Source organism: Homo sapiens, chromosome 12 (assembly GCF_000001405.40).
Source record: "Homo sapiens chromosome 12, GRCh38.p14 Primary Assembly".
NCBI lineage: Eukaryota > Metazoa > Chordata > Mammalia > Primates > Hominidae > Homo > Homo sapiens.
Genome location: NC_000012.12, coordinates 129,456,778 through 129,484,396, shown reverse-complemented (window position 1 = coordinate 129,484,396; position 27,619 = coordinate 129,456,778). Strand labels below are relative to the sequence as shown.

The following is a 27,619-nucleotide window of genomic DNA, read 5'->3' as shown; positions in this document are numbered from 1 at the left end:
GTGTGCCTAGCCCTGTAGAGAATATAAAGTTACCCTTGGACAAGTTTTTGGTCCAGGTGAAGAGTTAAGGGACAGTTGATGCAACAAAGCAAGTGCCCAAGATTTTAGAAATAAGTAACTGTCAGGAGCGGTGACTTGCGGTGACTCACGTTGACTCCCAGCACTTTGGGAGGCCAAGGCAGGCAGATCATCTGAGCTCAGGAGTTCAAGACCACCCTGGCCAATATGGTGAATCCCCATCTCTACTAAAAATACAAAAATAAGCCAAGTATGGTGGTGCACGCCTGTAATCCCAGCTACTCAGGAGGCTGAGGCAAAAGAATCGCTTGAACCCGGGAGGTGAAGGTTACAGTAAGCTGAAATCACGCCATGGCACTCCAGCCTGAGTGACAGAGTGAGACTCTGCCTCAAAAAAAAGAGAAATAAGTAACTGAATAAAGATCAATTCAGAGCAAGTTCAAGATTTTAAATATAGTTTGTATACATATGTTTTGGCAGGTGCAAACTAAATTAGAGCAAAATCATTGAGAAATGCAGATATTTTCATCAAGAATGACCCTATGGAAGGGATTTTGTGAATGAAACACTACAGTTCTGCTGAAATGCTCTCACGCAGCCATGAAATGCCCCCTAATTGGGGCACTGAGTTTTGTGCTGACATTTGCGTCACCACGAAGGGGAGCGTTGACGTGGGTATTTTGGCAGAAGCCACACGTTTCGTTTCAGCCTCTGTGAAAAGCCAACTGCTGGCAGCGTTTGTGTTCACTCAAAATGATGTTCCAAGCTAACCGAATATTCAGATTAACTGGCTTTTTCTTTTACCAATTTTCAGATGACTCAACTTCAATTAAGTATGGTTAATAGTAAAACTATGTGAAATATAATTTGATGGTGTCACATTGATTCAGAAGACACAGGGTTAGAATATTGTAAGAGTTCCTCGAGAATGCGTGTTACTCAGATTCATCTCAGACCCATGTCTCTCAACCTTGGGTGTGTGTTAGAATCAGTGTTTTTCAAATTGCAAGGTGTAAGCTTCATCCAAATTAAAACAGAATTTCTGGGATGGGGCCCAAGCGTCTGTACTTTTTCAAAGCCTTCTGGAAGCTTCTAATAGGAAGCCCAAGGTGAGAACCACAGTATTAGACAAAAGAAAGAAAAAGTCAAGCACACTGGCACAAATTTGGCCAGATTCTATCAGACATGCAGACTGTACGTTCACGATAGAAGCGTAATGACAGATATCTGACAGCGGATTTTGTGTTTTTTGTCATTTGTTTAATGAGAAGGGCATTTAGAAAACACAATTTTCTTTCTTTTTGTTAAGCTCTCAGGTCATTTGAATTTCGCAGTAAAAGGAGTTTTTGAAGATTTGATTATTTGGCATGCCTCATGCATCCTCTTCCACACACACACACACACACACACACACACACACACACACACACACAGATTAAATATGTTCTCAGAGATAAAACCAGATGTTTGCTCTTTTCAAAGGAGCACGCTAGGAAGAGAGCCAATTAACTGTATTAAATGAGTCTGGGTTAACTGTATTAACCCAGGTGAAAAAAGGCTAATGAAACTTTTCAGAATTAACCTAAATCTAAAGTTGGCAAAAAAAAAAAGATGTTGTATTTAAAATTAGTAAAATAACTTTGCAAGTACCCTCAAATGTATTCTCAGAATTTGTTTGAAATTGATAGACAAGTTTTCAGATGCTGATCTTTTTAAAAAGCTATTTTGCTGTACCATTTTCTTCATTTGATTTTCTTTAATTACCAGAGTAGTACATATAATGAGTAAAGTACTTTAAAAACTTCTTTAGAAATTCAGCAATCTCCACCTCATCCCACCTTCCTAATATGGTGTCAACAACCTGGTGAAGTCTTCCATTTTTTTCTACGCTTCTACAAACATTTATTTTCCATTTACTTAAGTATTTAAACATATTGTTACAAAACTAGAGTTGTATATGATGCTGCAATATGCTTTTTCATTTAATATAGCATGGGTATGCTTTGTTATGCCTTCAGATTGGTAGACAAAAGATTTCTATCACTGTAATTCTCATGGAATTCTATAGCATGTATGTACCACAGTTAATTCAACCGTTCCTCAACCGAGGGACATTCTGGTTACGTCCAGTGTTTTGCCACGCTACACACAATGATGCAATAAACGCATAAGCACAGTGGAGATGGCTTGGCCGTACTCCATGGCACCTGGGGGCTCAGCTGGGAATGCCCGTGTGTCTGGGGGCTGGCTGAGACAGCTCAGCTAGAGTCATATGGCTGGGACCTCCTTCTGGCTGTCAGCTGGGTACCTCTGTTCTACAACAGATGGTCTGTCCACATGACTGGCTCTGTGTTCCTAACAACATGGTGGTCTTGGGGTTCCAGTTGGGAGAGGTCTGAGAAAATCAAGCCTCTGAGTCTTCCCGCTTGCTAAACTTCCAGCGGCCAACGCAGGCCTCACGGCCAAGCCCAATACCAATGTGTGTGTATGTGTGTAGGTGGTGGTGGGGGTGCCTGGGAGGGTTACCTAATGGTGTGAATAGGGGGTGCCTGATTCATTAAGGGCTAAAAAGAACAAGGTTACTGGATTCCAGGATATGTGCAGTTTTAATTTTTATAAACACTGCTAGATCACTCTCCCAAAAGGTTGTGGCAATTAACATTATCACCAGTAATGTATAAGAGAGCTCATTTCCTAAATTGATGCTCATAGCAAATGTTATTTTTTTCTAATTTGACAATATTACAGCTGAAAACTATCTTTTAAATTCCCATTTCCTTTACCATTAGTAAGATTGAAAATCTTTTCAAGTATGTGTTGGTAAATTGCATTTCCTCTTCTGTAAATTGTTTTGTATTTTTCTCTGTTTATAGGTTAGTTTGTCTTACAGTTTTGTGGGTTTTTTTTTTTTTTTTGGAGACAGGGTCTCATTCTGTCACCCGGGCTGGAGTGCAGTGGTGGTATCATAACCCACAGCATCCTCAACCTCCCAGGCTCAAGTGATCCTCCCACCTCAGCCTCCCGAGTAGCTGGGGCTGCAGATGTGCTTTACCACGCCCGGCTAATTTTTAAAATTTTTTTGTAGAGACAATGCTACCCACTTTGGTCTCAACTGATCCTCCCACCTTGGCCTCCCATAGTTCTGGGGTTACAAGTGTGAGCCACCGTGCCCAGCAGATTTTTTCTTTTTTTTCTTTTTTTTTGTATGTTAAACTCTTCCTTAAGTTCTACTTTGAAAGGAATGACCTGTTCTAGAATTCTGGACTTGAGAGGCACCTTGGACCTTGTTCTGTTTCCTCCTTTTCTCATGTGGCCCTGTGCTTTCCCAGGCTGATTCACATTCCTGTGTGCATTTCAGGTTAGTTGCTTCTAGCTGCTGCGTAGTATCCCATAGTGTTCATCCGCCATGTTTCATTCACCTGCTCCCCAGCAAAGGGGTCCGGGTTGTCTCCAAAACTCTGCTCCACACACGATGCTGCAGTGAAAATTCTTGCCCATGTGCCCTCTGGTCCTCTGTGAGAATTGTTCTGGGACACATCTCAGAAGTGGATTGCGGGGCCATAGGGGACACATGCACTTCATTCGAGCAAGTTTTTCCAGTTACAACAGCAACGCAGAAGAGCTACCGTTTCTCTACGTTCTTGCCAACACTTAGCATTGCCCAACTTTCTCATATTTGGAACACATTTATCTGGAGTCCCTGGAAACTGTCATCCTCCAACCGTCCCTAAGGAAGATGGAGTGTGGGGTTTCAAAGAAGGTATGACTCAGAACCAGATGGTCATATGCTAGAGAACGTCCCTATTACTGCAGAAAGGTCTGTGGGACAGCATTGCTGCAAAGCTCTACCCGGAGCACTTTGATGATTTTGCTCATTCACAGAGCATCACTCACCCGGATGACCAAGGACCGCCTAGCTGAGCTTTGTCCTTCCCTGTCTGCTCCCTGCATTTGAGTCCCAACACAGCAGCCAGAGGATGCTTTTAAACTCCCATCAGGACACTTGTCTGCTCCAGACCTCAATGATTCCTCACTGCACTCAAAGTAAGCACCAAAGTCTTTTCAGTGGCCCACAGGGGTTTGCACAGTATGGCTCCCCTGTTCCTTCTCTGACTTTGCTTGGTGCCCTCTGCACCCCCTGCACCCCTCTGCAGCTCCATGCACCTTCTTCCTCTCCCTTGCACACACTAGGGCTTCTGGCATTTGCACTTGGTATTCCCCGCTGCCTGGACCCTCCTCTGCCAGGAGGCTTGCTCAAATCTCTAGGACACAGTGAGAACTTTCTTCAAATCTCTAGGACACAGTGAGAACTTTCTTCAAATCTCTAGGACACAGTGAGAACTTTCTTCAAATCTCTAGGACACAGTGAGAACTTTCTTCAAATCTCTAGGACACAGTGAGAACTTTCTTCAAATCTCTAGGACACAGTGAGAACTTTCTTCAAATCTCTAGGACACAGTGAGAACTTTCTTCAAATCTCTAGGACACAGTGAGAACTTTCTTCAAATCTCTAGGACACAGTGAGAACTTTCTTCAAATCTCTAGGACACAGTGAGAACTTTCTTCAAATCTCTAGGACACAGTGAGAACTTTCTTCAAATCTCTAGGACACAGTGAGAACTTTCTTCAAATCTCTAGGACACAGTGAGAACTTTCTTCACTCCTCCCTTAAACTCACATCACCCCCAGCGTTCTTCAGACCCTCACACGGGCTTTACTTTTTTATGACACTATCAGCTTCTCACATACTGTAAGGTTAACTTATTTATCATGTTCTTTTCTGTGCTCTTGCCTGCATAAAATGTAATCACCATGAGGACAGGCATTGGTTTTTATCATATTTTGCATTTTGCTCTTTTATATGCTCCTGTGTCCTGAGTTTCACGCCTGCGATGGTGGGATCTCAGGACGTATGCCAGAGAGCAATGAAGGCCAGCCGTGTGCAGCCAGGATTCCCCCCACCAAGAAATTCCAGATTCTGACACTCTCTCCAGAGAAGTTCAACTAGTAATAAAGATTCTCTGTCTTCTGGAAATCAGGATATATTAACAATAGCCCAGGATCCTTAAATTTGATGCCAATTTTTTTTCACCAAAGCTTTTTCACATGGTACAATCTCATTCTACTCCCCTTAATGAAAAGAAAGTGGTCTTCAGCATGCCTTTCAACAGATGAAATCAAATTCATTTAGTGCCCATTGATTAAGCATCAGCCCTATACTGGGAATTGTGTTGGGCTCAAAATGATTTAGAGAACACTCTTGTCCTCAAAGAACTCTGTCTGAACACTGGGTACTGCAGATGGTCTCAACTAACTATAGTGTAAAGTACAAAATCATGCACTAGAAGTCCACGCAGAACGTAAGAGAACAAAGAGGAGGGAACAATTAATTCTGCTCCAGCAGTAGTCCACAAATATATCTTCATGCATGTGTAGGTCTTTTTTGTAATTATTTTTAACATATTTTAAAAGTCAGTGTGAGTTTGGAGGGGCAAAATGCCAAATACACATACAAAATGACAAGCAGGTAGCTTCTTATTCTAGCTTCAGTCCCTTTCAAGGGACTAAAGCTCGGATTCTAAAATTAGGTGTCAGCATCCTGCAGAACCCTCTCCCAGATTTGAAGGGAGGGGATCAGAGCACATTCCAGCCTCTGATCTAAAGAGCGGAAAAGGATGTACTGAACACAGCAACATACCTAGCCAAGTCTGAAACCAAGACAATCTACGTGCCAAAATTCTCTCTCAGCAAATCTAAGAGGGTTTGGGATATGGGGTGGAGAGAAACCCCTATCTGCCCCAGTCTCTTTCCAAATGAAATACTTGGCTGGATATTCTGAACTGTTCCAAAAATCAAGGGCCATTTAAAAGTCAGCCTTGTTTAATTTTATTCCTTGAGTCTACATATGTAGTCATGCAATGCATAGTGATGCTTCTGTCAAAGCTCAACCATACATGAGATGGTGGTTCCGTAAGGTTATAATGGAACCAAAACATTCCTATCACCCAGTGATGCCCTAGTCATCTTAATGTTGTAGCACAATTACTTTTTTAAAATATAAATGTAATGTAGCCTAAGTGTAGAGTTTTTATGAAGTCCATGGTAGAGTATAGTAATCTCTGAGGCCCTCACATTCACTCACCACTCACTCACTGACTCACCCAGAGAAACTTCCAGACCTGCAAGATTTATTCATGGTAAGTGGCCTATACAGGCGCACCTTTTAAAGATCTTTTATACCATATTTTTACTGTAACTTTTCTATGTTTAGACATGTTTAGATAGACAAGTACTTATCATTGTGTTGCCTACTGTATTCAGTACAGTAATGTGTGGTACAGACTTGTAGCCCAGGAGCCATAGGCTAGGTGTGTGGTAGACATGACTATCTTGGTTCGTGTAAGTCCACTCTATGATGTTCACACAACAATGAAATTGCCTGAGGACACATATAACATGTCCCCGTCATTAAACAACACATGACTCTCTCTCTCTGTCTCTCTCTCTCTCTCTGTATATGTGTGTGTGTATGTGTCTATTTTATTTTATTTTTTTTTTGAAATGGAATCTTGCTCTATTGCCCAGGCTGGAGTGCAATGGTGTGATCTTGGCTCACTGCAAGTTCCGCCTCCCAGGTTCATGCCATTCTCCTGCCTCAGCCTCCCCAGTAGCTGGGACTACAGGTGCCCACCACCACGCCCAGCTAATTTCTTTGTATTTTTAGTAGAGACGGGGTTTCACCGTGTTAGCCAGGATGGTCTCGATCTCCTGACCTGGTGATCCACCCGCCTCGGCCTCCCAAAGTGCTGGGATTACAGGTGTGAGCCACGGCACCCAGTCCTGTTTGTCTATTTTTAACATGATTCTCTCTAAGTTTAGGCCTTAAAACCAAGGTTTAAGAGGAGCAGATAGTTTTGGAATAGAGCATGGAGACCAAGTAAAGCAAAAGGGACACTTTAACAAATGCCTAGTGTATTGGTCTTGCCGTTGGCCTCTCCCTTTGGGTCTAGAGCATTAGATGAGATCGGTGTATGTCAACATGCTGAGCTTACAAAACACAGGATGAGGAGGGGGGTCTTAAAGGAACTGAAGAGTCAGCTTACCTTATTTTCAAAAGAAATCAAACGTCTCATCTTACGACTGTGTTTCTCAGCTTGTGTCACTTCGGCAATGTCTGGAGACATTTTTCATTGTCACGACCAAGGAGACGGGGTTGCTGCTGGCATCTCATGGGTAAAGACCAGGAATGCTACTAAACATCCCTGTTAAAAATAAAATCAAATGAAACTAATTTTTAAAGTTCTTGTGCATAGAAAAGCACCGTCCTGAAACCAGGAGATCGTAAACCAAAAATGATTAAGAGGCATGGATTATCAAGCAAGAACGAGGAAGTTGTTTATCCTTTATAAAAGTTGGTTGTCACAATCAGGGTTTTTGGACAAAAAACGATTGGTAGAAATTGATCATCTTATACTGGAAGGCAGCGTAAGTTTTGTTTGTGATTATCGGAGGAATTTATAAGAAATAATCTGAGTTAAGCTTCCCTGGCATTTGAGATTGAAGCGAGATTAAGCTTTGCTTACTTTGCCTAATTGGTTTTATCTGCCAGGAGATTGTCAAGCCTGGTCCCCATTTAATGGATCTGAGCATCCTACAATGCACTCCAGCCCCCACCACAAATACATCTCTCTCCCAGAATGTCGAGGTGGAGAAAGCGCGCCTTATGGTATTTCAACTTGGCAGGCTCAGGTGGGTCCTCCTTCTTAATGTAGAGAATTTGAGCCTCAGCGTGAACTTGGGCATTAGGGGCCATCCCCTGGACCCAAGGAGTGTTGGGAAGATCAGTGTCTGAGTGACCTGACCCCAGGCTCGGCACACGCAAGCAATTCTGTGACCTCAGGAAGGTGTGGGGCACCAACAATGTCAGACAGAGATAAGCCTGTTGGGAGTCACTTGGCATACGTGCAGTGGGTCCGCAATGATATTTAAATATGGCTGTGGATGACTTGGTTTTGTAGAATTTGGGAAGTTGCTCTTGTCTCTTTCTTCATTCTGATCCCTGACAGCAATACTTCTCAGCATAGTGATTTCCAAGCAAAGGCAATAGCCCTACAAATGTCCAGAATGTTTCCTCCCACCGTGTGTACATTCCCATGTGGATGGACACACACATGCCTGGGGGTATTTTATTAACATGGCGGAGGCATTATTTTTGATTGCCACATTTGCTGCGTGTTGCCAACTGGTATGAGCAGACAGAAAGCAGGGATACTAAACCCCCCACAGTGTGGAGGACAGTCCCATTCAACAGAAAGCACAGTCCTGCTTCCCGACATGGTACTCAAACACCCACAGGATACTGATGGAGAGGGAACACCCGCTTACAAATACGTGAGCATAAAACTTGACTCCATTCTCTATATAAATAGGAAGTATTTCTGCATAATTTTAATACAGTCAAATTGTCAAGGAATGCAATTGCCGGTTAAATCGAGGTCAGATTGTATTTTGCTTTGTCTAGAACTTTTTCAAAAGTTGTTCAACTTTCCAGAATATTCCATCACTGCACACCAGGTCATGCTCACAGCATCTGTCTTTACACGGTGCAGACCCTTCACTGTGTCCTGCAGCTCTGCTGGACGCCTGCAGAGTGGGATGCACATTGCTTTGTTATAAATCACTTTCCTTTCACTCATTATTATACGATGAAGCAGTTATACCTCTTTTGAATTATGTAAGCAGGTTATTATATTATCTACAGATTTCATTGTAGAGACAAAAGAAGGCAAAACAAAATATTTGTTTTTAATAAGGTGGCATGGGATCCAACTGCTTTAAGAAATATTGCCTTGGACAGATTAAAAACACATTCTCTTTTTCAAGAAGACCTGACTCCTTTATTTTCTGTCTCTGTTTCTTAGACCTGTCCTTCCTATCTTTTATAGATTGAGGAAACAGTTTGTGGAAGGAGTCCCTTTTTTATAGATTCTGCTACATGAAGAGTTGTAGGCATGAAATTCACACAAGGATGGAATGCCTAAGTCCAGTATCCCACTGCTCTCACTGTGGTCCAGTAAGGTCCGGCCACAGTGGCCTTCTTTGTGGTTCCAGAAACATCCAGCTGTTTCCAGTACCAGGACCTCTACTATGTGTTCAGCTGAGTCTGACTTCTTCTTTGTGCCTCAATTTCCATGTCACTTTCCTGATCATCCTAGATTACTGGATGTCCTACAGCTATTCTCTATCTCACAGTGGCTTTTGATAGCAATTGCCCAGTTTATAGTAATACATAGAGTTTTTGTCCTCTTGTGTGTTTTCTGTTAACCCCTTCAAAGTTCAAGCTTCGGTAGGACTTTTATGCATCTTTGTGTCTCTGCATCTAGCAGGCCATCTCAGGCACACAGTAGGTCCTGGATAAATATTCAGAGTGAGTGGATTATGGCATGCAGCCTGGCCAAAGCCCCAGCCTTCTGTGCATCCAGGACTCACTTTTTTTCTGCTTCTCTCAGATGCTTAGAAAGTAGAATATGCTGTCATCCTCTGGAGGTCAATGTCATCGCTTCCAGAAAATATCTGCTGGCATCATGATCAGAGACCAGAATTGGACAAGATGAGTGGGCAGACTGAACATGTAGAGCCCTCCCATGATTCAGCCCTCACCTTTGCACTCCCCCAGTTCACCCACGCTGTAGCCTATAAGTTAATGATGACAGCATCCACGTCAATGGGATATTCAGCTGTCAACGCGAAGGGACGAGAAGGCTGGCAGTTCAGTGCTCTGTCACTGGGTCTTGTCAACTTCTGACAGTCAGTCAGTCAGGGACAGCAGATTTAGTCCCAGCAGAAGAACACTGGGCTGGAAGTCAAGCCTGCAGACTGCGATGTTGTGAACTTCCTTTGAGCACCAGTGATCCTACTTGTGGTCTGTGAACTTGGGCAAAATAGCTCACCTCTGAGTTTGGGTTTCTTCAACCCTCAGCTGAGAATCATTACAATGACTTCACCCAGTTAATGGGTTGATGTGAGAATTAATTGTAATAAAGTACTTAGGGTGCCATTGTACATGGCCCAGAGCAAGCACTCAATAAATTGATAAATATGTAATGTGTTAGGAGGGAGCAGAAGGGCATACATCTTTATTAATAGTAAAAATATTACTGTGGTTTTGGAGACTCCTGTTCCCGAGTCCCCTGTGACAATGCACATGCCTTTGAAAAGATTGGTTAGTGCCCAGAAACCGACTGTGTTGCTCATTGACCTGAATTAATGCAGATATTGGAACTATTCGGAGGCGAAGGGTTACAGAAAGGAGCAGGTGAAAGGCAGTGATCTGCTTTGCCAGTCACTGCATGTTTAAAAGCCCAAGCCATGCCGTTGAAAGTCTCCAAAAAACAACACAGCTCAGGGGTTCATAGATGCCTGGTTTGTTGGTTATACAAGAATGTGGTTTCCAAAAATGTGTATTTAATGAATGAATTTGCTCATTGGGACGTTTTTGTTGAGCATCTACTATGTACCAGGTGTTTTGCTAGGCATGTGAATAAATAAAGATCTGCTATGGACATGCCTCGGAGATACTGCAGGTTCAGTTCCAGATCACCATACTAAAGTGAATCACACAATTTTTTGTGTGTGGTTTTCCAGTACATAGAAAAGTTATGTTTACACTATTCTATAGTTTATCAAGTGTGCAATAGTGTTATGTCTGAAAAGCAATTACATACTTTAGCTAAAAATAACTAAAACCAGGCCAGGTGCAGTGGCTCACACATGTAATCCCAGAATTTTGGGAGGCCGAGGCGGGCAGATCACTGCAGGCCAGGGGTTCGAGACCAGCCTGGCCAATATAGCGAAACCCCATCTCTACTAAAAATACAAAAAATTAGCCAGGCATGGTGGTGAGTGCCTGTAGTCTCAGCTATTCAGAAGGCTGAGGCGAGAGGATCACTTGAACCTGGGAGGTGGAGGTTGCAGTGAGCCGAGATCATGCCACTGCACTCCAGTCTGGGCAACAAGAGCAAGACTTGGTCTCAAAAAAAAAAAAAAAAAAAAAACAAAAACTAAAATCACTTTATTGCCAAAAACTGCTAATGAGCCTTCAGTGGGTCCTAATCGTTTTGCTATTGGAAGGTCTTACCCGACATGGACGACTGCTGACTGATCCGGGTGGTGGTAGCTGAAGGTTAGGCTGACTGTGGCAATGTCTTAAAAGTCTTGGCTGGGCGCAGTGGCTCACGCCTGTAATCTCAGCACCTTGGGAGGCCGAGGCAGGTGGATCACGAGGTCAGGAGTTCGAGACCAGCCTGACCAACATGGTGAAACCCCTTCTCTACTAAAAATACAAAAATTAGCCGGGCGTGGTGGCACATGCCTGTAATCCCAGCTGCTCAGGAGGCTGAGGCAGGAGAATCACTTGAACCCAAGAGGAGGAGGTTGCAGTGAGCCGAGATCAGGCCACTGCGCTGGGCAACAAGAGTGAAACTCTGTCTCAAAAAAAAAAAAAGTCTTAAAATAAGACAACAGTGAAGTGTCCTACATTGATTGACTCTTGTTTTCATGAAAGATTTCTCCGTAGCATGTGATGCTATTTGATAGCATTTTACTCACAGTAGAACGTCTTTCAAAATTGAAGAATCCGCTCAAAACCTGTTGTTTTATCAACTAGGTTGAAGCAATATTGTAAATCCTTTGTTGTCATTTCAACTATGTCCACAAACCACCTTTTTCATGCATATGAAACAGGTCCTCTTTTTGATGGGGTTGTTTTTTGTTTGTTTGTTTTTTACTTTAAGTTCCGGGATACACGTGCTGAACATGCAGGTTTGTTACATAGGTATACACCTGCCATAGTGGTTTGCTGCACCTATCAACCCGTCATCTAGGTTTTAAGCCCCGCATGCATTAGGTATTTATCCTAATTCTCTCCCTCCCCGTCCCCCCAACCCAACGACAGGCCCCAGTATGTGATGTTCCCCTCTGTGTCCATGTGTTCTCATTGCTCAACTCCCACTTATGAGTGAGAACATGAGGTGTTTTGTTTTCTCTTCCTGTGTTAGTTTGCTGAGGATGATAGTTTCCAGCTTCATCCAAGTCCCTGCAAAGGACATGAACTCAACTTGAAGTCCCCAGTGGCATTAGCCCCTAACAAGGGAGTCAGCATGTCCCTTGAAGCTTTGAAGCCAGGTATTGACTTCTCCTCTCCAGCTGTGAAGCTCCTAGATGGCATCTTCTTCCAACAGAAGGCAGTTTCCTCTCCATGGCAAATCTGTAGTTCAGTTTAGCCATCTTCATTGGTGGTCTTAGCTAGATCTTCTGGATAACTTGCTGCAGCATCTCCATCAGCACTTGCTGCTTCACTTTGCACTTTTATGTCATGGAGACAGTTGATTCTGTTAAGCCTTATTAATCAACCTCTGCCAACTTCCAACTTCCGTAGCTTCCTCACCTCTCTAAGATTCACAGAACTGAAGAGAGTTAGGGCCTTGCTCTGGAGTAGGCTTTGGCTTAAGGGAATGTTGTGGCTGGTTTGATCTTCTGTCCAAACCACTTAAATCTTTTTCCAGTCAGCAATAAGGTTGGTTGTTTCACATTCTTATCATTTGTGTATTCACTGGTGTGGCACTTTTAGTTTCCTTCAAAAACTTCTCCTTTGCATTCACAGCTTGGTTAGCTATTTGACACAAAAGCCTAGATTTTGGCCTATCACCTCTTTTGACATGCCTTCCTCATGAAGGTTAATCATTTCTAGTTTTGATTTAAAGTAAAAGATGGAGGAGCCTTCCTTTCCCTGGAACACTTAGAGGCCATTGTAGGGTCAGTAACTGGTTTCATTTCACTACTGTCGTTTGTCAGAAATAGGAAGGCCCGAGGAGAGGGAGAAGGATGGAGGAACAGCTGGTTGGTGGAGCAGGCAGAACACAGATGACATTTATTGATTAAGTTCTTCATCTTATGGGCACAGTTCATAGTGCCCCCAAAGAATTGCAGTGACACAGAAGATCAATGATCACCATACAGATACTGTAATAATAATAACTTAAAATATTGCATGAATTATCAAAATGTGCCAGAGACACAAAGTGAGCACATGTTGCTGGGAATAAGGAGCCGATAGACTTGCTCAATGCAGGGTTGCCATAAACCTTCAATTTGTTAAAAAAAAAAAAAAAGTAATATCTACAAAACACGATAAAGTGAAGTGCAACAAAATAAGAGGTGCTTTTCCTGGAGCCTAATTAGGATTCCTAATTAAGTGGGATTTGATTGCAAGGAAGAGAAACTCACTTCTGCTTGCTTATGCCATGAGGGATTTAGAGCAAAGATCCAGATAATAAACATGAGTCAAAGACATGTGGTCAGCTTTCCTAGATCCCAGAAATGCTCATGCACCCATTTTCTCTATCTGAGCCTCTCTGTGTTCTCATGATGTCATCTCTACTCTCTTCTACTTCTTTCTTTCCTCTTATTCCACAGACCAACTTTTGTGGTTATTTATTGACTTATGCATAGCCCATCCTGGTTACCTCAAAATTCTCACAACTGACAAGCTTCCTCTGTGTTTCTAAGGACAAAAGGTGCTGTGACAACTTGTGGGTCATTTTCAGGCCTTTGGAGGAGCAACCAGTTTCATAAATGTCAATTTCTTATGTCAGAAGCAGTTTATAGAATTGTAAAAATAATTTTCATGTTGTCAATTTCATGTTGTCATGAGACATGATGCCGAAACTCTTTACGATTTGCACAATATTTATAACCCCCTTAAACAATGGGGAGTTTTGGAGACACCAATACAGCCACTTTATTTGTGCAAGCAGCGATGTCCTCACCTGAAAAATAAGGACAAGAAAAAGTACCCATCACAGAGAATCACCAGGAGGATGAAGTAAATCAGGAAACATAAGCCCAACCCCTAGTATATGCCTGGCGCAAAGTAGGGAGGGCTTCACAAATGATCATTCCGAGGACCTCAGAGTTTCTCTTACATAAACTACACTACACGTGTTGGCAGTCTCCTCAGTTGCCTAACATAACTGACCACACCAAAAATTTAAAAAAACAAAATCTTAGAAGCTGCCTTGGTAACTTTACAAAGAAACCTCCTACAAAATCTTGCACAGTTGCCCAGGGGAATTGTCTGTGAAGTTTATCATCCAAATGCGCTCATCTTATGTGACTGTTCTCCCAAAACAAATCGCTTTTATAGTCCACACCACAAATTTAGAACCCCATTTTATGAGCTGTCTATAGAGAGATCTGGAGATGATTCCCTGCTTGATTGCCTAGGAATAAAGATTGATCCGTCCAGTATCTCCCCATGTATAGATTCTAGGTTGATTCACATACTGTACACAGGCCGGGCAGCCATATTTCATCCCTCTGGAAAATTACATAGTCAATACCTTTTCCACTCAGCATATCTTACAAAGGCTTGAAGGGGATTATGACCCCCCAGTGCAGACTTTGGAAAGGAGCAGGCAATTCACAGAAGTTAACTTTGCATCCAACAGAGACCTAAGGTTTTGACTTCAAGTTTCTTAGTATCACAATGCAAAATATTTTTTGTATTTCACTTTGAAGGTGACTCTGTGGTTTAAATCTTCAACAGAGACGACAAAGGACAAAACTAAAGGACAGAAGCTAAAGTCTGTCCATTCTGTTTTCTAAAATCTCCTTTTTCCCTTATAAAAGAGGGAGTGCCACACCAGAGTGGCAGCAATGACCAGTTACTGGTTCCCACTCTCTGGGTCCGGTGAGGTGGTCACTGCCGTATACCTGAGACAGAGCAGGGGCTCAGTGATTGCTTGAGTGATGGATGGACTGTACATTGTGTTATCTTGTTAGAATGTTCTAATTTTAAAATTCTCAGTTACCCTATAGGAGAGGTTCTCAAAATTTAACATTCATCCATATCACCTGAAGGTCTTGGTAAAACACAGATGGCTGGCCCCCCCTCCAGAATTTCTGATTCAGTAGTTATGGAGAACTTGCATTTTTAACAAGCTCCCAGGTGACACGGGGGGCACATCTTGAGAGCTTGAGAAAGGTTATCACAGAGTTGGCATCCTATGAATAAGTTTTAAGGGTCAGAACCAGAAATGTCTACCATGAGTGAAAACCAAAAATGGAAGACACTTTTCATCTCTTGATTCGAGGAGTGAGTAAAGGGCTGCTCCACTAACGGAAAACAGAACGTCACTCTTGCTTTCTGATTTATTGAGCAGGTAGTAGAGACTTTTGAGGCAAACAGCAGTGCTCTTTCTCTTAGATCTGAAGGTCCTTGGTTTGGGTACCAGTTTTCTTCATTAAGTTGAAAAGAGAAAAATTTATTTTGTTGTTGTTGCTTTAATGTCTTAGGTGATGTGCAGGTTTGGGGCACAGTGTAGGAGACAGAGTGTCTGTCACTCCACCTGTCATTACCACTTGGCTTCCTTCAGAGAATGCCATATGAAAACAAGCAGTGTCAAGAAACCAAAACATCTGTTTCCATCTGGAAGAAGCCTGATTTTAAAAACATGACATTAAAATTGATTTATCAAATCATAAAAATGAAGCAAAATAAAAGGCACCAACACCTTCAGCTTGGAGCACTTAGAAATATATGGCTGTCAGAGGGAAGAGTTGTTTTCAAAGTATCTTGTGTAAAATATCTTACGAAGTAGAGAGACAGAAAGAGGAGGCCACTGGAGGCATCAAGAGGAAAAAGTATAATCACTGAGATAAAACTGGGGAACTATTTATGGATCAACTTGCTTTTTTATTAATGTCTTGTGACTTTTATTTTGAGGATACAAAAAGGTAAAACAAAAAAAAAAATCTTATTGACTGAAGGACTTCAAGGCAGCCCTTGGAGCTTGTCTGAGGCTGGAGGTGTAGGCAACTTGTGTGTGTTTAATTGTCTTCCTGTGGATGCAGAGATGCTGCCTTGATGATATTTGCATCCACGTCTTTCAGGTCTTCTTTGCAATACAGAATGCTAATAGGTGTCTGTCAGGGAAAGAAATTAGGAATGTGGTTTTCCATCTTCTGTGTCTCCATTTGTCACAGTGCACAAAGGAATCAGCCAGGGTCAGAGTCTACAGATAGAGATGGAGCTCATTTCTTTGCTCACCACCCCTCTTCTTTCTGCAACAGAAAGAAAAAAGCCACTCCTCCGAGTCAGAAGCCAGGGGAGAAAACACACACACACACACACAAAGCTTTGTGTAATGCACAGTAATGATAGCCCTTGAAAATGTCTTTGCTTTATCTACTAAATGCCAGCCTCAGATGCAGAGTGGCTGAAGTGGAGGAGCTGGCCTGGGTAGAAAAATATATTTCAGGAGTGTCAATTCTGTCCTCAGCTGTTCCTGAATCCAAGTGTCACGTGTGTGCTCTTCTCAGCACATTGAGAGCTTCGTTATCTGTTACCTAGGCTATTGAAATGCTTTTCGGACATTTACCCAGGGTATTTTACACACAGCTGCTTGATTAATCCCTCTAAAGCGCGGTTCTGGGCTTGCCTCCTTCCGAGTGAAAAGCTTCAGTGGCCTTCCATTGCCTTCTGAGCAAATTGGAATCCTGCTGCCTAGCAATCAGGGCCCTTTGGGACCTGGATCTAACCTGTATTTCCAAACATTTAGTCCATTACAGCTGTTCAAGCACAGAACAGGTCATTCTGCCATGCCTTCCCACACAGAGTGTCCCCACATGCCTAAATTCTTTCTGGTTTTCAAGCCAAATTCAAATGACTTGACCTTGGCATGTCTGCTCTGTCATCATCCCAAATTCCTGTGATACCCGAGGGTGCAGAGGAGCCTCCTCCCTTTTAATCTCCTCTGGGTTCCACCACAGTAGCAGGTGCAAGTGATGTCACCCAGCCCCAGCCAATCAGAATGCTCAACCTCTTGGCCACAGTGATTGGTCAGGGATGGTCATGTGACTCAAGCATGGCCAATGAAATTCCATCCCAGGACATTGGCTGGAGCTATAGGGAAGCCACCCATCTTTCCAGTGGGGACCTGGAACTGGTTTCTCTTAAGCCCCCAGCTTCCTTTCACCATCTTTGAGAGTCTGCTTGGAAATTGAGATAGAGAAAAGCAGAGCCAAGAATATGTCCTGATGATAAAGTTTCAATCCTGGATTCAACCATGTTTGGATCCAGACCCACCCTTTGAATTTCCCAGTCATATAATCCAACAAATTACTATTCTTTGGTCTAAGCCAGAGTTGCATTAGTGTCTGTTTCTTGCAAGCACTTACAAAAACAGTACTTATTTTATCTGTTGGACTTTAATTACAGATGCATATTTTAAATTTTATTCTGTTATTCATTTGACGTATATTTTTATTAGGCACCTACCGTGTGTCAGATCACAGATTCAGCTCTGAGGGACTGTTCCTGCCTTTTAAGGACTATTCATCCAACCAAAAGGGGAGATGTAAATAATTACAGCAGTGCAGAGTAGGTCAATAGACACCTTGGAGAACTTACTCTGTTCATGCAAACCTGGATATATCTGCATAGTCTTCCTGGAGATGGTGACGTTGAAGCTGAGTGTTGAAGGATGAAGATGAGCTCCGGAAACAAGCTACAGGGGAAGGATGGAAAGAGCATTCAAGCCTAAGGAAATAATACATGAGAACAAGTAAGCAATGAGCAGAGTGAATGGGAAACTGCAAGTCATTCATCATAGTCAGAAGACTGTGTGCTGTTCCCTCTTGGAGCCTGAAGTGCCTGTCGAACAGTGTCTTCTCCAGGGAATGTACCTAATAAGTGTGTGTTAAGTGAATGAGCTAATGAGTGAACATTATTGGCAAGTGTTATTATAGGTGATAGAGGATTCATAACAGTTGTTATGAGGAGCAATGATTAATTGAGGCTTAGCTAAAATAATTGTTATTTAAAAAGGAAAAGTTGCCAGGCACAGTAGTGCGTGCCTGTGGCCCCAGCTACTTGAGAGGCTTAGGACGGGGGCGGGGAGGATTGCTTTAGCCCAGGAGTTCAAGGCTGCAGTGAGCCATGATCGTGCCACTCCCTGCACTCCAGCCTGTGTGACAGAGTGAGACCACATCTCTAAAAAAAAAAAAAAAAAAAAAAAAAAAAAAAAAAAAAAAAAAAAAGGAAAAATCTACCAGCCACTGTTATACCAGTTCTCCGTGTAACACCAACTTTCTAGTGACCTGCATGAGAGAGCAGAAACATTCTTCTTTGTCATTTATTTGGAATGAATCTGCAGAAAATAATGATAACAATAACAAAAGCATTATCAATAATAAATCTATAGTGATGACTTCTTCTTGCTTGTTATGTGCTAAGGAATGTGCCACGCAATTTACTTGCATTGTCTCAAACACCCTTTACATTAATCCTGTGCCGTAGATATTATGAATGTCTCCACTTTAAAATGAGGAAATGAGGGCCAGGTGCAATGGCTCATGCCTGTAATCCTAGCACTTTGGGAGGCTGAGGCAGGTGGATCACTTGAGGTCAGGAATTCGACACCAGCCTGGCCAACGTGGTGAAACCCCATCTCTACTAAAAATACAAAAATTAGCTGGGTGTGGTGGTACGTGACTGTGATCCCAGCTACGTGGGAGGCTGAGGCACAAAAATCACCTGAACCTGGGAGGCAGAGGTTACAGTGAGCTGAGATAGCTCCACTGCACTCCAGCCTGGGTGACAGAGCAAGACTGTCTCATAAAATAAAATAAGGAGTTCACTCATGATTTGGGCTCTCTGTTTGTCTGTTATTGGTGTATAAGAATGCTTGTGATTTTTGTACATTGACTTTGTATCCTGAGACTTTGCTGAAGTTGCTTATCAGCTTAAGGAGATTTTGGACTGAGACAATGGGGTTTTCTGATATACAATCATGTCATCTGCAAACAGGGACAATTTGACTTCCTCTTTTCCTAATTGAATACCCTTTATTTCCTTCTCCTGCCTAATTGCCCTGGCCAGAACTTCCAACACTATGTTGAATAGGAGTGGTGAGAGAGGGCATCCCTGTCTTGTGCCAGTTTTCAAAGGGAATGCTTCCAGTTTTTGTCCATTCAATATGATATTGGCTGTGGGTTTGTCATAGCTAGCTCTTATTATTTTGAGATACGTCCCATCAATACTTAATTTATCAAGAGTTTTTAGCATGAAGGGTTGTTGAATTTTATTGCTTCAAAGAGAATAAAATACTTAGGAATCCAAATTACAAGGGACGTGAAGGGCCTCTTCAAGGAGAACTACAACTCACTGCTCAATGAAATAAAAGAGGATACAAACAAATGGAAGAACATTCCATGCTCATGGGTAGGAAGAATCAATATCGTGAAAATGCCCATACTGCCCAAGGTAATTAATAGATTCAATGCCATCCCCATCAAGCTACCAATGCCTTCTTCACAGAATTGGAAAAAACTACTTTAAAGTTCATATGGAACCAAAAAAGAGCCCGCATTGCCAAGTCAATCCTAAGCCAAAAGAACAAAGCTGGAGGCATCATGCTACCTGACTTCAAACTATACTACAAGGCTACAGTAACCAAAACAACATGGTACTGGTACCAAAACAGAGATATAGATCAATGGAACAGAACAGAGCCCTCAGATATAACGCCGCATATCTACAACTATCTGATCTTTGACAAACCCGAGAAAAACAAGCAATGAGGAAAGGATTCCCTATTTAATAAATGGTGCTGGGAAAACTGGCTAGCCATATGTAGGAAGCTGAAACTGGATCCCTTCCTTACACCTTATACAAAAATTAATTCAAGATGGATTAAAGATTTAAATGTTAAACCTAAAACCATAAAAACCCTAGAAGAAAACCTAGGCATTACTATTCAGGACATAGGCATGGGCAAGGACTTCATGTCTAAAACACCAAAAGCAATGGCAACAAAAGCCAAAATTGACAAATGGGATCTAATAAAACTCAAGAGCTTCTGCACAGCAAAAGAAACTACCATCAGAGTGAACAGGCAACCTACAAAATGGGAGAAAATTTTTGCAACCTACTCATCTGACAAAGGGCTAATATCCAGAATCTACAATGAACTTAAATAAATTTACAAGAAAAAAACAACCCCATCAAAAAGTGGGCGAAGGATATGAACAGACACTTCTCAAAAGAAAATATTTATGCAGCCAAAAGACACATGAAAAAATGCTCATCATCACTGGCCATCAGAGAAATGCAAATCAAAACCACAATGAGATACCATCTCACACCAGTGAGAATGGCAATCATTAAAAAGTCAGGAAACAAGAGGTGCTGGAGAGGATGTGGAGAAATAGGAACACTTTTACACTGTTGGTGGGACTGTAAACTAGTTCAACCATTGTGGAAGTCAGTGTGGCGATTCCTCAAGGATCTAGAACTAGAAATACCGTTTGACCCAGCCATCCCATTACTGGGTGTATACCCAAAGGACTATAAATCATGCTGCTATAAAGACACATGCACACGTATGTTTATTGCGGCACTATTCACAATAGCAAAGACTTGGAACCAAGCCAAATGTCCAACAATGATAGACTGGATTAAGAAAATGTGGCACATATACACCATGGAATACTATGCAGCCATAAAAAATGATGAGTTTATGTCCTTTGTAGGGACATGGATGAAGCTGGAAACCATCATTCTCAGCAAACTATTGCAAGGACAAAAAACCGAACACCGCATGTTCTCACTCATAGGTGGGAATTGAACAATGAGAACACATGGACACAGGAAGGGGAACATCACACATCGGGGCCTGTTGTGGGGTGGGGGGAGCGGGGAGGGATGGCATTAGGAGATATACCTAATGCTAAATGACGAGTTAATGGGTGCAGCACACCAACATGGCACATGTATACATATGTAACAAACCTGCATGTTGTGCACATGTACCCTAAAACTTAAAGTATAATAATAATAATAATAATACATAAATAAATAAATAAATAAATAAATAAATAGGACAGGGATCCCAGGACACAGGCTGTTTTGGGTTGCTTATGTTTTTTGCCATATGGAAAGCTGAGATAGGCTTACCTGTGAATGTGAAGTTTAAAGATAATGATTATTGCTACATCTGTCAGTATTTCTGGAGACCCAAAATAAAATGGCACTCATGAATGCTCAAAAAAAATAAATAAAATAAAATAAGGAAATGAGGCTCCAAGATGTTGTGCAACTTCACACAGTTCCTGCATCTTCTAAGTAGATACACTTATTCAGAAGCTCATAAGAGAGAAAAGCAGAGTTTGATTCTGGACAGCACTGTGTAGGTTCAGCGCTCTTCTCCAGAACAATCTGATAGACTGTCTTGGAAACAAGTGATGCTGTCTAGATTCAGTTTTCCTGTGTGTGTCCCTTGGATCAGATTCTTTAAGACTTTCAAATGTTAGGGTCAGTTTGAAATCTCTGGAGTTTATTGTGGGCTCCGAGGACTCCCAGGCTGGGTTCATTGAGTCTCAGGCAAAAGAACCTACCTCTCTCTTTGCCCTTCTCATACAAGCAGTGGGAGACACGAGACTGGCCTGCGTATGGAAGACAAGTCTTATTACTTGAAAGGCTTGGAATCCAATGGGTTAATTCTCTATTGCCTCAACCTCCCATTCTCAAAGTCTCGTTTGTAATCAATTTGAAATTATTAATTAGACAAAATAATTATTTACTACCATATCCCAAGGGTAGCCAAAACTTAATTGCCAGAGCCTTGTTTGTGCAAGCAATTTCTGTATAACAAAGAGGAATATTTAGTGCCATTGTGAAATTAATTGGGTAGTTATACTTCTCCCCCCACAATAGTCAGAGGGCTGTCAGAGTGGTAGTGTGAATAGTGTTTGTTAACTACATAGCTTTGATAATAATGTCCTTGTAGGAGCAGTGGTAAAATCCTGTCCTAAGCACTGTGGAATTTTTATCTTACATATGTGAAAATTAGAACTCAGATTGTAACAATTTTTTTTTGTCTGTAATACTATTTCAATTTCTAAAACTCCTTGCTGAGTCTAAGGTGAAAATCAAGCCATACTCCTTTCTTCAGGATACCTTTGAGCGTCTCTTTTTGTGTTCCTATCTCTGACTCAGTCTATCTGCCTGTCTCTGTGTTTCCCTGAGCGTCTCTTCCAATGCAGTGTGCTTCCTAAGTGCGTCTTTATTCCACATCCCCGACACTCCCTTTCGTCAATAACTTCAGAACAAGAAGCGCCTTTAATAATCTTACCCCAAAGATTCACTCTGCCTCAGTTTGTTTATTTCTCCCCTTCTCTCCCACCATTCCTGTCTAAGGACTTTTCTTACAGTAGAAAAGCCTGGGTTTTTCTATTATTTAGAACTTACTCAAATCACAGCTCACAGCCTGTTGGCTCTGTGGCCTTGAGTGAGTTACTTAAATCTTTTTGCCCAATTTTTAAAATGTGTAACATGAGATAATAATACCTATCCCCTACGATTTTCAATCATCAAAGGAGATAACCTTTGTGGAATTCCTAGAATGTCTCCTTGTTCTTTCTTAGTCTTCCTGAACTTATCCGTATTTGGTAACAGTGTTCATGCATGTGTGTACCCATATGGCTATTTCTCTATCTATGTACCTGCTGATTATCTATCTACTAATTAGCTATCCCATCCATCCATCAGTCCGCCCGTCCATCCATCCATCTATCCACCCACCCACCCACCCACCTCTCTACCTACCTTCCCGCCTAGTCATATCTTTCAATCACCTATCACTTGGTTCCTCTTTTCTCCTCTTTCCTTGGTCTCTTAGCTGAGCTCACTCATATGTTCAGCTTCTCTAGTCTTCCAGTTTGATGTGAAGACCTGTAAGAAGATGAATAAGTCAAAACAATGATGAGATCCTAGATCAGTCTATTCATGTGATACAAGGAAAAATAATCTGTCTTGTTTTCCTGGGCTCTCTTTGTCTTCTTTAGTTTTTCATACCAGTCCATCTTCATCTTTCTACAAACTAAACCCTTCCTCTCCCCTCTTAGGTGGCTGGGCTAGCAGAGCCTTTCCGTCTGGTTTCTCAGTCCACATTTCTACTCCTGTTCTTTGCCATCTGCATCCCCTGAGATTCTCAGGTACAATTGTATACCTGGGCTTGGTTCCCAGAGTCCCCTTTCTGGGTCCTTCTCCTGGCTCTTGTCATCTTTCTGGACTAAGACTTTCACCCTGGGTAAGATCTCTTGAGCTGCAAGCCTCTGTGGTGGATTTTTCTATTCTTCCCCTCCTCCACCCAGCTCATTCCTTCTGCACCTCTACTCTTTCTAGTTCATGTTGACTGTGGTCCCCACCACCCTCAACCCTTATCAGCAGAGTAGCATTAAAACTTCCAGCTCCGCCATTATTCTAACCCATACTGGGAACCTATACCCATGTCAAGGGTCACTAAAGTCCACCTCTGGCTGCCAGTATCAGCATAACCCACATAATCCACACTTGATGTCCAGTGATGTGCAGTCACACATTTGCTTCCCAGATGCACTTTGGCTTCTCTGTCTCTGGCAGTCTGGATTGCCTTTAAATCCACAGTCATCTGTAAATGAAGGTGCCCATCAGTGCCCCAGTGGGAAAAAAAAAGTTCTTGATGATCCCCTTAAGCCATTAACTAACTGAATTGCATAAGGACTAATCACACACACACATAGAAACACATAAGAAACATGTCATATATAGCACTCTGTCTTCAGAGATCCATCCCTGGTCATCGTCATGTGGTATTTGGCTCTCCCGAATGCAAACTTTTTAATAGGAGCTAACATTTTTTTGAGCGCTAACTGGATGCCCAATGCAGTTAGAACTCATTTATATACATTAGAGAATTTAATCTACTGCAGTCTCATGCCACATGTGCTAATTATGATGCCATCTCATGGATGAGAGAACAGTCACACAGAGGTAGGTAACAAGCCCATCATCACAAAGCGGGTGTGTTCTAATAGATGTCACAGCTGCTACTCAGATCCCGGCAGCCTGAGTTCATGTTCCTATGCAGGAATCCCTTCCTGACATTTCTCAAGGACCTTATCCGCTTTTTCAAATCTCCAATCCTGGAAATAATCAGTGGAGAAATTGAGGAGATGTGTGGCAGTTCTCAAGTGTGAATGAAACCTTAACTATCCACAGAGATGTGTCTAGATCAGAAGAATCCACGGACATCACGGGAATACACAAGCACAGGGAACACAGAGAAGGGCATCCAGCATCAAAGTTAACATTTGGGGTCACTGGGACAGGAGCACGTAGAAGTAGAACCCGTATGATTTCATGGGTCAGTCTTGATTGTAGTTGTGGCCGTACTATGATGTCTGCTGGTGGCTCTGTCTGCTGCCAAAAGTGAGTCATTGTTGCTGATAAAAGAAAAGCTAATACACTTGCAGTCATAGTATACTTTATACACACTCCAGGAAGGATGTATCAAAAATAACACACCTTGGAAGCAAGTAAGTCCCTAAATTGGCAATTTTGACACCCAGTTCTATGCTTCTATGCATCACTGCTAATCTTAATATGAAATCCTAATCGGATGTTTTCTAGAAACTGATGTTTTACTGTGTTTGAATGCGTGCTGGTGTTTTACAGTGTTTGCCTGTTCACTATAGGCTACAGATATTTGTAAATGCAACTTAACTGAATATTTCTGATCTGTTATACATGGATAAAAGTGAGTAAAAAATATGAAAAACATTAAAAATGTTTTACGAATAACCCATGATTTCATGAATCCTTGAGAATTCCCGGGAATTTCCTTTTCTTCTCTGAATTCCAAATATTTACATCCCTTAAAATTCAGAAACACTAACTTGAACACAGAGCCTTGCTCCTGGCCACTTCTCTAGAATTCCTCTTGGCACACTTTTGTCATTGTTCAAAATAAGTATTCCCATCTGAAATGGAACGCATCTTATTATGGTCTGTCTTGCTCACTGGAATGGAAGCTTCAGGAGAGAAAGGCTCTGTCTGTCTCATTACCTGCATAGCATCAGTACCTAGAACAACTCCTGGGAAGTTCTCTGAGCTCCATAAACGTTGGAGAGATCAGTGACTGAATTTGCATGACTCATTGTTAAGTGTGTCCAAAGAAATCATCGCAGAAGAGGAAAGATTTTCTAAACCTGAAGACTGCACAAAACAAATGCTTTCTTGATATTTTCACTGCAGACAGGCTCCTCTCATGAAAGTCCAGCGATTACCAGGCCTCACTCTGCCCTCATTTCCAGGTGCAGTGCTGAGCCATCCTGGAACATTAGTCAAGCAGGGTCTCACCATGAGCCAAGGTGAAGGGAAAGTCACAGAGACCTTCAGGGAGGAGGGAAGAAGTGTTCCTGGTGCCATTACAACCCGCTGAGCACAGAGCCCTGATGTGCTTATTCTGGAAGCATGTGATGTTCCAAATCTAGTTCAGCAAAAGCTAGCCTTAGGATTTTTCTTGGTAATTGAGAAAAATGCCTTTTCTTTTTCTGTATAATGGAGAGAGTGGAGACTGAGGTTTCTGAGATGCCTTCCAGCTCTGACATCCAAGGTTCAATGGGTCTTGGATACCACCCCGTGAGCTGAGTGTCATCTCTCTCCACTTCAACTGGGTGAAACCGTGTCAGAAATCAAGAGCTGATTTACGTGTGTGTTCCTTCCCTGTCTTCGGCGCATCGGCCGAATATGAGCCTGCTCAGGGAAATAATTTAGCACCTGCTAGGGGCCCCGTCTGAATTCCATTGTTTAGCCCACTGCCAATTTCCTGGACTATTTAATTCCTAGCTGTCAGGTTGTGAGTTCAAATCCCCTTAGGTCCAAGTTTCATTAGCGGTTTTTACAGATCTATTTCTCTCTCTGTGTGATGCCCACAGTCTCACTGTGTAATTATCCTTATCAGACCAGACACATCTGATTAAACCATTTGAGACGGTCTTTTCTTAGAAAAAGCAGCAAATCTTAACAAATTTAGCTTGTGTCTTATGGTATCATTATCAGTGAACTTAAACTCTATCTAAAAGACAAAAAAAAAAAAACCTCTGCCCACTCTGATATAGGCAAATGCTAGCTTGTGAAAGGCCAACACCATTTTTTATTGTTTAAATTTTTTATATCCTTTGCAGTGGAGAGGGAGGACTTACACCCAAAGATTAGTAGCCCAGCTGAGACTTTTGCTCCTTTTATTGTTGTTGCAGTCAAGAACTCAGCAGAGAAGAGAAGAGACACTCAGCTAGGGAATAGAGGAAAATTTAGTGGAGGGACTATTTACAGAGATGTGGGCACCATGTAAGACCCAAGAGGGGACGTTGAGGCACCAGAGACTAGAGGAGCTGTCTCCTTTGTGTCTGAAAGGACAGGGGAGAGTACGATATTATCAGAGGCTCATCAGAGCTGGAGGCCTGGAGGAAGTGCCCGTGGGTAGGTGTTTCTCTAACCATGGAGAAGCACAGCTTCTGTCCAAGATCAGGCAATGCACCAGGGAGGAAGTGGGGAATCCATGCCTGATATGGTTTGGATCCGTGTCCCCACCCCAATCTCATGTCAAATTGTAATCCCCAGTGTTGGAGGGGAGACCTGCTGAGGGGTGATTGAATCATGGGATCAGACATCCGCCTTGCTGTTCTCATGATAGTGAGTGAGTTCTCATGAGATCTGGTTGTTTGCAAGTGTGTGGCACCTCCCTCTTCACTCTCTTTCTCTCTCCTCCTCTGCCATGGTAAGACATGCTTCCTTTTTCTTTGCCCTTCCGACATGATTGTAAGTTTCCTGGGGCCTCCCAGCCATGCTTCACATATGGCCTGTGGAACTGTGAGTCAATTAAACCTTTTTTCTTTATTATTATTATTATACTTTAAGTTTTAGGGTACATGTGCACAACATGCAGGTTTGTTACATATGTATACATGTGCCATGTTGGTGTGCTGCACCCATTAACTCGTCATTTAGCATTAGGTATATCTCCTAATGCCATCCCTCTCCCCTCCCCCCTACCCCACAACAGGCCCCGGTGTGTGATGTTCCCCTTCCTGTGTCCATGTGTTCTCATTGTTCAATTCCCACCTATGAGTGAGAACATGCGGTGTTTGGTTTTTTGTCCTTGCAATAGTTTGCTGAGAATGATGGTTTCCAGCTTCATCCATGTCCCTACAAAGGACATAAACTCATCATTTTTTATGTCTGCATAGTATTCCATGGTGTATATGTGCCACATTTTCTTAATCTAGTCTGTCATTGTTGGACATTTGGGTTGGTTCCAAGTCTTTGCTATTGTGAATAGTGCCGCAATAAACATACGTGTGCATGTGTCTTTATAGCAGCATGATTTATAATCCTTTGGGTATATACCCAGTAATGGGATGGCTGGGTCAAACGGTATTTCTAGTTCTAGATCCCTGAGGAATCGCCACACTGACTTCCACAATGGTCGAACTAGTTTACAGTCCCACCAACAGTGTAAAAGTGTTCCTATTTCTCCACATCCTCTCCAGCACCTGTTGTTTCCTGACTTATAAACTGCCCAGTCTCAGGTAGTTCTTTATAGCAGTAGAGAAAAGTCTAATACGATGCTCCCTACTCTCTTTTCTTTTACCTGTTAATATCCTGCTAGTATTTTCCTCTGGCTGAAACCAACCAGAAACACAAAACCAGGAACCCGAG

General features: G+C 42.2%; 1 protein-coding gene and 1 long non-coding RNA gene across 2 annotated transcripts in view; one reads left to right on the top strand and one right to left on the bottom strand.

Moving 5' to 3' along the window:
* The window catches only part of TMEM132D (transmembrane protein 132D), an 832,300-nt gene that overhangs the window by 419,629 nt on the left and 385,052 nt on the right, over positions 1–27,619 (top strand). The gene's annotated exons all lie outside the window — the stretch shown is intronic.
* Positions 15,752–25,992, bottom strand: LOC105370074 (uncharacterized). Its single transcript, XR_007063613.1, has 6 exons — positions 23,637–25,992; positions 23,421–23,528; positions 22,685–22,810; positions 21,475–21,522; positions 17,489–17,617; positions 15,752–16,140 (listed from the first exon to the last, which is right to left on the bottom strand). It is a non-coding gene; the product is annotated as an uncharacterized LOC105370074 (long non-coding RNA).